Here is a 12,344-nt window from a genome sequence, read left to right as displayed (position 1 = left end):
CAGGGATGCACCACCACGTGCAGCTAATTTTTTCTTTTCAGTAGAGACAAGGTTTCACCATGTTGGTCAGATTGCTCTGGAACTCCTGACCTCAGATGATCTGCCCACCTTGGCCTCCCAAAATGCTGGGATTACAGGCATGAGCTACTGCACCCGGCCAATATATCATTTTTTTTAGAGGTAAGGTCTTGCTTCGTTACCCAGGCTGGACTGGATCCTCTTCCCTCAGTCGCCCAAGTAGCTGGGACTACAGGCGTGCACCACTGCCCCTGGCTACAGGACTGTAATTTTTATGAGTATTTCTTCCTTATTTTATTAGGCATACGTGTGTGGATATATAAATATATATGCATATACATCACAAGTATTTGTTTTGTTCCCTCTCTTATCCTCTTATCATCTAACATGAAAACTATTAATACTTAACATTATAGTACAATATTCATTTTTTGAGACAAGGTCTCGCTCTCTCACCCAGGCTGGAGTGCAGTGGCTCAATCACAGCTCACTGCAGCCTCGACCTCCAAAGGCTCAGGCAGTCCTCCCACCTCAGCCTCCTGAGTAGCTGGGACCACAGGCACACGCCACCACACCTGGCTAATTTTTGCATTTTTTGTAGAGATGGGTTTTCACCATGTTGCCCAGGCTAGTCTCAAACTCCTGACCTCAAGTGACCCTCCCACCTCGGCCTCCCAAAGTGCTGGGATTACAGGCGTGAGCCACCACTCCTGGACCACAATATTTATTTATTTAAGTTACAGGACATCAGGGGAAAGTGTGAGCATCACCCACTGACTTTGTCTCCTCTTCTGAGGAAAAGAAGGTGTTTTTAGTTGTATACTTGAGAATTGCATCATGTTACGCAGAAGTATGAGCTTGTTATCTTTATTTAGAGATTAAGTATGATTTAAAGAGATATGTAAAGGTGCCAAGATAATGAGGGGTGGATTGCAATAATCAATTTGATGTGTCAGTTGGACTGGATATATGCCCCAGTTATTCAATCAAACACTAATCTAGGTGTTGCTGTGAAGGTATTTTGTAGATGTGATTAACATCTACAATTAAGCCAGGCATGGTGACATACACCTGTAGCCCCAGCTATTCAAGACGCCAAGGCAGAAGGATAGCTTGAGCTCAGGAGTTCAAAACCAGCCTGGGCAACATAGCAAGACGCCCATTTCTTGAATAAAAAAATCTAGCCAGGAGCAGTGGCTCGTGCCTATATTCCCAACACTTTGAGAGGCTGAGGCAGGAGGATCTCCTGAGCCAAGGAGTGTGAGCAATGCCTGGGCAACATGGTGATGCCTCCACACCTGTAACCCCAGCACTTTGGGAGGCCAAGGTGGACGGATAGGTTGAGCCCAGGAGTTCAAGACCAGCCTGGGCAACATGGTGAGACCCCATCTCTACCAACAAAAATACAAAAAATTAGCTGGACATGGTGGTGTGCTCCTGTAGACCCAGCTACGTGGGAGGCTGAGGTGGGAGGATCACTTGAGCCTGGGAAGTCAAGGCTGCAGTGAGCTGAGATCACACCACTGTACTCCATCCAGCCTGAGCAATAGAATGAGATCTTGCCAAAAAAAAGAACAAAACAAAACAAAAAAAACACTGCTGAGGAGGGCTCAGAAGGAGGAAGTAACACAACTAAGAAAGCTTCTATCATCTTACAGAATACAAACATCATCCCGCACAAAATGTTGGAAATATGAATGTTAAAGGTGCTTCTAGTTTTGACTCAGAAGGAAATGAGGAACATGATATTGGAAACTAGATGAAAAACCATCCTTGTTATATAATGGCAGAAAACTTAACAGAATTTTATTCTGGAAATACCCAGAGGTACTTTCCACACAAATACTTCGGTATTTATTTAGCTGAGAGATTTTCGAGCAACGTATTTGAAGGGGCGGCCTGGTTTTTTCTTACAGCTTTCAGGAAAATGTGAGACATAAGAGATACATTGAGTAAGAAACTGTTAAGCCAAAAGGAACCAGTACTTGATGATTTGGGAGATTCTCAGCCTATCCAGATTGTAAAAGATGCTAAAATTAGAAAATTCACTGTTGGCCAGGTGCAGTGGCTCATGCCTATAATCCCAGCACTGTAGGAGGCCAAGGTGGGAGGATCACTTGAGCTCAAGAGTTCGAGGGGCCAGGCGCGGTGGCTCACGCCTGTAATCCCAGCACTTTGGGAGGCCGAGGTGGGCAGATCACGAGGTCATGAGATCGAGACCATCCTGGCTAACACAGTGAAACCCTGTCTCTACTAAAAATACAAAAAAATTAGCCGGGCGTGGTGGCGGGTGCCTGTAGTCCCAGCTACTCGGGAGGCTGAGGCGGAGAATGGTGTGAACCTGGGAGGCAGAGCTTGCAGTGAGCTGAGATCGTGCCACTGCCCTTCAGCCTGGGCAACAGTGCAAGACCCCATCTCAAAAAAAAAAAAAGAGTTCGAGACCAGCCTGGGCAACAAAGTGAGACCCCGTCTCTACAAAAAATAAACAGAATTAGTTAAGTGCCTGATTGGGGTTGGAACTTTGAGCCCCATACTCAACCTCCTGGGAGGGGAGAGTGGCTGAAGGTTGACTTGATCACCAGTGGTCAGTGGTTTAATGGTTTAATCACTCCAGCCTGGGCGACAGAGCAAGACTTTGTCTAAAAAAAAAAAAAAGGGCGGGGGAGGGTGGCGGGGATGGTAGCTCAATCCGGTAGTCCCAGCTATTTGGGAGGCTGAGACAGGAGGACAGCTGGGTTGGAGCCCAGGAGGTTAAGGCTGCAGTGAACGGTGATCATGCCACTGCACAGCAGCCTGGATGACAGAGTGAGACCTTGTCTCAAAAAGAAAAAAAAGAAAGAAAATTCACTGTTGGGAAAGCATGCTCTTTGTGATACTCAAGGATCCGATGACCCATTTCAGCAGAATCAGGAATAGAGATGGGATTATCCAAGAAAGCTCTGTGGACGGCCTTCTTCTCTAATACGAACACATACAGGAGAGTGACAAGGCTTTTGGGAATGTTATACCAGTACAAACACTGCCAGCTTAAACAGAAAGAAACAGAGAAAAGACAAAATGACAGAAGGCTGTCAGACTTCCAAAACTTTATAGGCAGGAAATGGGCTGATCGAACTATCTGGTTATAAGCATGTGCTACCTGCAACACAAAGGAAGAATGACTCCAAGGGCAGAACCGCAGGTGCAGAGGCATGGGCGAGGCAGAGGCCAAGAGAGCAGAGCAACAGGAGATTTTTTTTTTTTTTTGAGACAGTCTCACTCTATCCCCCAGGCTGCAGTGCAGTGGCAGGATCTCGGCTCACTGCAACTTCCGCCTCCCAGGTTCAAGAGATTCTCCTGCCTCAGCCTCCTGAGAAGCTGGGATTACAGGCGTGCGCCACCATGCCTGGCTAATTTTTGTATTTTTAATAGAGACGGGGTTTCACCATGTTGGCCAGGCTGGTCTCGAACTCCTGACCTCAGAGATCCACCTGCCTCGGCCTCCCAAAGTGCCAGAATTACAGGCATGAGCCACCATGCCCGGCCTCAACAGGGGATATTTTTCAGGCCTTAATCTAACGATATTTTCCCTACTGGGTTTCAAACTTGATTGGGACCAGTGAACCCTTTATGACTTCCAATTTCTGCCTTTTGGAATGGGAATATCTGTCCTATGCCTGTCCCACCATTGTAGTTTTGGAAACAGATAACTTGTTTTCCAGTTTCACAGATCCACAGGCAGAAACTGATGCCGTAATGCATTAAGACTTTTGGGTATGTTGGAATGGGATGAATGTATTTTGCATGTGGGATGGACATAAATTTGGAGGCTAGAGAACAAACTATAGTGGGTTGAATGGTGCACTCCCCCAAAAGATGTATCCACATCCTAACACCCAGGCACGGTGAATGTTACCTGGGTGTTATTTGGAAAAAGGATCTCTGCAGATGTAGTTAAGGATCTGAGTTGAGATCATTCTGGATTAACTGGGTAGCCCCTAAATTCAATGACAAGTGTCTTTTTCCAGAAGAGGAGAGGGGAATGATGCTATACTTCCAGGAAACCATTCAGGTTGCCATCACAGTGGCCAAGAGTAACATCACAGTTGTCATAGTGTCATGGCAGCTGATGATAAACAGCCTACACAGATGGCTGCAGGTTAGGAAGATGACAAAGTGACAGAAGCATCCTCAAACAGTTCTGTTGCTATTAACAGCAATGCAGGTTCAGGGCCGGGCACGGTGGCTCACGCCTGTAATCCCAGCACTTTGGGAGGCCCAGGCAGGTGGATCACGAACTCAGGAGATCGAGACCATCCTGGCTAACACGGTGAAACCCTGTCTCTACTAAAAATACAAAAAATTAGCCGGGCATGGTGGCGGGTGCCTGTAGTCCCAGCTACTTAGGAGGCTGAGGCAGGAGAATGGCGTGAACCTGGGAAGTGGAGCTTGCGGTGAGCTGAGATTGCACCACTGCATTCCAGCCTGGGCGACAGAGCGAGACTCCCTCTCAAAAAAAAAAAAAAATCAATACAGGTTCAGTATCCACAGTCCAAAAATCCAAAATCTTGGCCAGGCGCAGTGGCTCATGCCTGTAATCCCAGCACTTTGGGAGGCCAAGGCGAGTGGATCACCTGAGGTCAGGAGTTCAAGACCAGCCTGGCCAACACGGTGAAACCCAGTCTCTACTAAAAATACAAAATTAGCCGGGTGTGGTGGCACATGCCTGTAGTGCCAGCTACTCAGGAGACTGAGACAGGAGAATTGCTTGAACCCAGGAGGCGGAGGTTGCAGTGAGCCGAGATCGTGCCACTGCACTCCAGCCTGGGCAAGACAGAACAAGACTCTGTCTTTTTCCAGAAGAGGAGAGGGGAAAAAAAATCCAAAATCTGAAATGCTCCAAAATACAAAACCTTTCAAGCACCAACATCATGCTCAAAGGAAATGCTCATTAAAGCATTTTGGATTCAGATTTTCAGATTAGGGATCCCGAATCAGTGAATATAACTCAAACGTTCCAAAATAAGAAAAAAAATCCAAAACACTTCTGGTGCCAAGTATTTCAGATAAGAGAGTAAACCAAAAGATGCAGTAACTAAAAACTGAAACATGAGTTGCAAATGGGAGCCAGTCAGAAAGTTTAGTCACTGTTTCATCCCTCATTTGAACCCAGTAACACTTGTAACACTTTGGAAAACTTTCAGTGCAGAAATGTTGAGTTTTGTGATACACCACCTACCTCTCCTGACACAAAGTCATATATATTAAACAAGAGGAAACAGATCAGGGCATGTCATTGCCTCAAAGGGAGCTTAGAGGAAGGTCAAATCAAAAACCTACCAAGAACCTCACTGTCAGAGTGAACAGACTAAGACTAACCAAAATACTTGAAAAGGTAAGTGGAAGAACAAAGAGATCAAGAGGGAAATTGAGAAGGAAAACTGAAAGAGAAATGCTGTATATCAAAAGAAACAAGAACAATTGACAAAAAGAATGTAAGAACAAAGAAACAGGAAAGGCAGAATATAGGGCAGCTGAAAGACATATGAAACAGACAACTGCATGGAATCACGCAGAGTGCTGCTCATTTCACAAAGACCAGATGAGAGAGAGAGAGAGACAGAGACAGAGAGACAGAGAGAGAAGCTGCCAAAGCTGCTGCTCTGCTAAAAACAGGCAGAAATGGAATTCAAGAGGAAAACGTTTTTTCTTTTGAGACGGAGTTTTGCTCTTGTTGCCCAGGCTGGCGTGCAATGGCGCAATCTGGGCTCACTGCAACCTCCACCTCCCAGATTCAAGTGATTCTCCTGCCTCAGCCTCCCGAGTAGCTGGGATTACAGGCATGCACCACCACACCCAGCTAATTTTGTATTTTTAGTAGAGACGGGGTTTCTCCATGTTGGTGAGGCTGGTCTCGAACTCCCGACCTCAGGTGATCCGCCCGCCTCGGCCTCCCAAAGTGCTGGGCATTTTGTGCAGGCATGAGCCACTGTGCCCAGCCCAAGAGGAAATCTTATACAAGACAAAGAAGCACTACTGCAGTCATTCAATTCTGTCTTTTTGATGGTTCTCCCTTCACAAATCAGCTTCCCTTTGGAAGCTCCTTAAGAAGCAGCACAGCAGTTTGAGGCACAGATAGGAAGACTGACTATATCCAAGGTATGCTCATCCCGTGGGGACACTGGATCCCTGTTGGGAACAATACTTTATCCATTTCTAGTCATCTGGATATTGACTAGCACTTCCTTATTTAGTAATGCTCCTCCCACACAGGCTTCTTTGAGAATAAAATCATCAGAAAACTCAAATTGTGCACCATCTACCAACTCAGAAAAAAATAGAACCAGCCAGAAAAAGAGTGCTGGAAAAGCATGAAGACATCAAACAGGAAGGGAAGATAGACTGAAGATTCAAGAGGATGGTAAAGATGAAAATACGTGGAATGCAAATTCTACTCAGTGGTAGCGAGACAAGTACAGTACAATATGCAATAACCACTGCTTCCTTTTATTTTTCTTTGAGACAGGGTCTCGCTCTGTTGCCCAGGCTGGAATGCAGTGGCATGATCTTGGGTCACTGCAGCCCCAACCTTCTGGACTCAAGCAATACTCTCACCTCAACCTCCCAAGTAGCTGGTACTACAGGCATGTGCCACTACACCCAGATAATTTTTGTATTTTTAGTAGAGACGGGGTTTTGCCAAGTTGGCCAGGCTGGTCTCAAACTCCTGACCTCAAGTGATCCACCCACCTCGGCCTCCCAAAGTGCTGGGATTACAGGCATGAGCCACTGTGCCCGCCCTTCATCCTGTAGTTTTTAAAATCTTACTTAAAAACTGAATGAGACCAAGGAGAGAGACTGGGGAACATAGGGAGACCTCCTATCTACAAGAAATTAAAAAATTAGCCAGGCATGGCGACGTGCGCCTGTAGTCTCAGCTAGTCGAGAGGCTGAGGTGGGAAGATCTGCTTGAGCTTGGGAGATTGAGGCTGCAGTGAGCTGTGATCAGGCCACTGCACTTGAGCCTGACCAGCAGAGCAAGACTCTGTCTTGGAAAAAAAAAAAAAAATTAATGGCTCCCAGCTACTTGGAAGGCTGAGGCAGGAGAATCGCTAGAACCCAGGAGTCAGAGGTCACAGTGAACTGAGATCTGCCATTGCACTCCAGCCTGGGCGACAGAGCAAGACTCTGTCTCAAAAAAAAGAAAAAAGAAAAAAAATTAATGAAAAAATCTTTTCAAATGACAAATAGCCACAGAAGACCTGTAATATCACTTATGACAAGGTTGTAATTGAAAATATTGTTTCCGGCCGGGTGTGGTGGTTCACACCTGTACTCCCAGCACTTTGGGAGGCCAAGGGCGGATGGATCACTTGAGGTCAGGAGTTCGAGACCAGCCCAGCCAACATGGTAAAACCCTGTCTCTACTAAAAATACAAAAATTAGCCAGGCGTGGTGGTGCTACTCGAGAGGCTGAGGCAAGAGAATTGCTTGAACCTGGGAGGTAGAGGTTTCAGTGAGCTGAGATCGCACCACTGCACTCCAGGCTGGACAAAAGAGGGAGACTCCATCTCAAAAAAAAGAAAAGAAAATATTGTTTCCATCATCCGTATGAAGATTTAACAAAAGATTTCTTTTTTTCACATGTGGGGCATTTGTTCATAGAGAGGTCACAAGTTTTGTGCCCCCCGTCACAATGACCCCAGATTCCTATTGGGTGTGTTGTAAACAGAAGAAGCATTCTTCAGGCCCCCTGCTCTGAGCACACCCCAGAGGATTTCTTGACACTCAAGTATTAGGAACTGCTGCATGCAGTGGCTCACACCTGTAATCCCACCAACTCAGGAGGCTGAGGCAGGAGGAGTGCTTGAGGCCAGGAGTTCGAGACTAGCCTGGACAACATAATGAGACTCTGTCTCTACAAAAATAAAAATTAAAAAATTAGCCAGGCATGTTGGTGTGCGCCTGTGGTCCCAGCTATTCGGGAGACTCAGGTGGAAGACTCTGACTCAAAAAAAAAAAACAAAAAAACACATAGCCAGGCACAGTGGCTCAGGCCTGGAATCCCAGCACTTTGGGAGGCTGAGGCGGGAGGATGACTTGAGCTCAGGAGTTCAGGACCAGCCAGGGCAACATAGACCTCATCTCTACTAAAAATCAAAAAAATTAGCTGGGCGTGATGACAAGCACCTGTAGTCACTGCTACTCAGGAGGCTTAGGTGGGAGGATCACTTGAGTGCAGTAGTTCGAGGCTGCAATGAGCTATGATTGTGCCACTGCACTCCAGCCTGGGAGATGAAGCAAGACCCTGTCTCTAAGAAAATAATAATAATAAAGTAATAAAAAAATTTAAGTATCAGGAACTCTCCACTATAAAGGAATTACTGATTTCTCTGTAGAAGCATTGTAATTCTCTAAGAAAATAATAATAAAGTAATAAAAAAATTTAAATATCAGGAACTCTCCACTATAAATGAATTATTGATTTCTCCGTAGAAGCATTGTAATTCTTTTTTTTTTTTTTTTTTTTTTTGAGACAGAGTCTTGCTCTGTCACCCAGGCTGGAGTGCAGTGGCACAATCTCAGCCTCCTGTGTTCAGGTGATTCTCCTGCCTCAGCCTTCCAAGTAGCTGGGATTACAGGTATGTGCCACCATGCCTGGCTAGTTTTTGTATTTTTAGTAGAGATGGGGGTTTCACTACATTGGCCAGGCTGGTCTCGAACTCCTGAGAACACCTCAGCCTCCCAAAGTGCTGGGATTACAAGTGTGAGCCACCGCGCCCGACTGAGGCATTGTAATTCTTGATTGCAGCTCCTGCTCTGCTGTGTCTTCCTAGAATATACAGATTAAGCAAGACTTCAGGACCAGGCATGGTGGCTTATGCCTGTAATCCCAGCACTTTGGGAGGCTGGGATGGGCGGATCACTTGAGCTCAGGAGTTCAAGACCACCCTGACCAACATGGTGAAACCCCATCTACTAAAACTACAAAAATCAGGCTGGGCATGGTGGCTCATGCCTGTAATCCCAACACTTTGGGAGGCTGAGGCAGGTGGATCACCTGAGGTCGGGAGTTCGAGACTAGCCTGACCAACATGGAGAAACCCCGTCTCTACTAAAAATACAAAACTAGCCGGGCATGGTGGTGCATGCCTGTAATCCCAGGCTACTCGGGAGGCTGAGGCAGGAGAATCACTTGAATCCGGGAGGCGGAGGTTGCAGTGAGCTGAGATCGTGCCACTGCACTCCAGCCTGGGCAACAAGAGCGAAACTCTGACTCAAAAAAAAAAAAAAATTAGCAGGGCATGGTGGTGCACGCCTGTAGTCCCAGCTACTTGGGACGCTGATGGACGAAATCGCTTGAAGAGAGGTTTCAGTGAGCCAAGATCACACCACTGCACTCCAGCCTGGGCAACAGAGTGAGACTCCATCTCAAAAAAAACAAAAACAAAAAAAAGACTGCAAAGTTTTCTTGTTCAGTAGGCTCAGTAGGATTGCTGACAGGCATGCCTACTTTCTAAAACTTGTATTGATATTTTCTTCTTTTTTTTCTTCCTTTTATTCTAATACGTATTTATTTATACTTAGAAGCATCCTAAAATACACAGGAAACAAAGGCAACAAGCAAATAAATAACAAATAAATAAAGGGCAAATTGGGAGCCGGGTGGCGTGGCTCATGCCTATAATCCCAGCACTTTGGGAGGCTGAAATGGGCAGATCACTTGAGGTCCAGAGTTCAAGACCAGCCCGGCCAACATGGTGAAACTCCATCTCTACTAAAAATACAAAAATTAGCCGGGTGTGATGGTGCACGCCTCTGGTCCCAGCTACTTGGGAGGCTGAGGCAGGAGAATTGCTTGAACCTGGGAGGCAAAGGTTGCAGCAAGCCGAGATCGCACCACTGCACTCCAACCTGACGACAGAGCAAGACTCCATCTCAAAAAAAAACAAAAAAAGTCACATACTGTATACTTTCATTTATATAACACTCGTGAAATGACAACATTCTAGAGATAGAGAACAGATTAGTGTCGGGGTTAGGAACCTCGAGGGGATAGATGGCAGGAACAAGGGTAGCAGGTGTGGTTGTGAAAGGGCAGCAGGAGACATCCTGGGGTTGTGTCAATGGCCACATCCTGGTTGTGATATTGTGCTATTGTTCTGGAAGGTGTTACCATTGGAAGAAACTGGATAAAGCGCACATACGATCTCTCTGTATTATTCCTATAATTGCATGGGAATCGATACTGATCTCAAAATCAAAGTTTAATTTTTAAAAATGCATAGCTCACCTAGGATGGTTGTATAACTGCTTTAGACTGTGGCTATGCAGAAGTAACCAGAGAGCGTCGAGAACAAGGTCAGGTAGGAAGGAATCTCCTGGACACAGAAGAGAACAAGCAAGAACATGGTGGTGGGAGCCACGCTGCCTGGGTTCAAATCTTGGCTCTGACTCACACTCGTGCTATTACTCTGGCTAAGTTACTACCTTCCTCTGAGCCTCAGTCTTGTCATCTGTGAAATTTGGGTGAATTCATACGTGGAATCATGGCCGGGTGCAGTGGCTCACACCTGTAATCCCAGCACTTTGGGAGGCCGAGGCAGGTGGATCACCTGAGGTCAGGAGTTTGAGACCAGCCTGGCCAACATGGTGAAATCCTGTCTCTACCAAAAATACAAAAATTAGCTGGGCGTAGTGGCACGCACCTGTAATCCCAGCTACTCAGGAGGCTGAAGCAGGAGAACGGCTTGAACCCGGGAGGCAGAGGTTGCAGTGAGCCAAGATCGTGCCACTGCAGTCCAGCCTAGGCAACATGAGCAAGACTCTGTCTCAAACACACACACACACACACACACACACACACACACACACGGAATCGCTTAGGGCAGCACTGATACAGAGCTAGCACTCAAGAGTTTGTTATTCTTTCTATCATTTCACCTAGGAAGGGTGTGCTCAACTGGAAATGCTAGGTGGACTGGACTTAGAGTAACACCGTAAAATCCATCATGTGAATATTTAGCTCATGGGAATTTCTCTCTTCATGCTCTGGGGTAACTAATATATATTCTATATACTTACTTGTATGACTATTCAGATCTGCTTCAGTAATCATTATTCCAATTTATATGATGAGAAGAATATAAATTTGTAAATACTTAAATACTATTATTTAATTAAATCTTCAAAGAGTTATGAGAGGCAAAGAAGGAACCTTCTCAACTGAATAACACTAAAGTGATGACACGTAAATGCTAAACATAATCCTAAATTGGATCCTTTTGCTATAATGGACGCCATTGGGACATCCAAACACGATGCAGTCCATTCGCCTTGGAACTGCCATCCACAAACCAAGCATCTTTTTGTTGGTCAGTTGAGAGCTGGAGCATTGTCCAGTCGATGACAGAACCGACCAGCTCCTCCTCCATCAGTCCCGGCGGAAAGGAGTCTACCTGGTTGTGAAAACCGCTAATTCCGCACTCCCCTGGCAGCATATTCTTGTACGAACCATTTCCATGTAATTATGGAACTACTCTGGGCACTGCACTCCCTATTGGAGCGTTACACCATCACCCAAGACATCATGGATATTTTAGGTTTCAAAATTATTTTATGTCCTTCAATCATAAGGGCACTTTCAATTAATGTCTAATCCAAGCTCAACTGGAAATTCTCTAGTCCAAAGTCCCAGGTTACCACTAGGAGGCGCTCTTAGGCTTTTGCCATAAGCGCCGGTCTCTGCTCCACAAAGGGCTATTGTACAGGTAATCTGTCTGTGCGGCACCCCAGGTTCTATTGTATACTTCGTGGGCTTCGGCAATCTTACTGGTTCCCGTTTAGCATGTTCAAGTAATACTGGTTGAAGGGTGAATTTACAATACTAGAGAGGGGAAACATTCCACAGTCAGATACAATTTCAATCTCCATAATACATTGAGGTAAAAGAGATGCAACCATTTCAAATAAAGCCTGTTCAAATCTACAAATTTTCCAAACTTCCACCTTAATCCCATCAACCCTTACATTCCTCCATTGGGATTTCATCAACAGGTTTGAGTGTCACAATACTAGTTAAGGGAAGTGTTCCCTGTCAGTCATAATATCCATTCCCATAAAACATTCAGCTAAAACCTGTTTATTTTTATTTTTTAAAAAAAACTTATTTATTTATTTGAGACTTTGTCTCGCTCTGTCACCTAGACTGGAGTGCAGTGGCGCGATCTCGGCTCACTGCAGCCTCCTGAGAAGCTGGGAGTACAGGCACATGTCACCACACCCAGCTAATTTTTTTTTTTTTTAATTTTCAGTAGAGACAGGGTTTCACCATGTTAGCCAGGCTG

General features: G+C 45.6%; 1 protein-coding gene, 1 non-coding gene and 1 pseudogene across 2 annotated transcripts in view; 1 reads left to right on the top strand and 2 right to left on the bottom strand.

Moving 5' to 3' along the window:
• Window positions 1-12,344, bottom strand: part of ZNF157 (zinc finger protein 157) — a 43,921-nt gene that overhangs the window by 18,082 nt on the left and 13,495 nt on the right. The window lies entirely within an intron of this gene.
• Window positions 5,081-6,456, top strand: LOC100419232 (UBX domain protein 4 pseudogene; annotated as a pseudogene).
• On the bottom strand, window positions 7,641-7,767 carry SNORA11C (small nucleolar RNA, H/ACA box 11C). The gene has a single exon (NR_003710.1). It is a non-coding gene; the product is annotated as a small nucleolar RNA, H/ACA box 11C (small nucleolar RNA).

This window comes from Homo sapiens, chromosome X (assembly GCF_000001405.40).
Source record: "Homo sapiens chromosome X, GRCh38.p14 Primary Assembly".
Lineage (NCBI taxonomy): Eukaryota > Metazoa > Chordata > Mammalia > Primates > Hominidae > Homo > Homo sapiens.
Note: the sequence above shows the minus strand (reverse complement) of the source record. Positions and strands in the feature narration are given on the sequence as shown.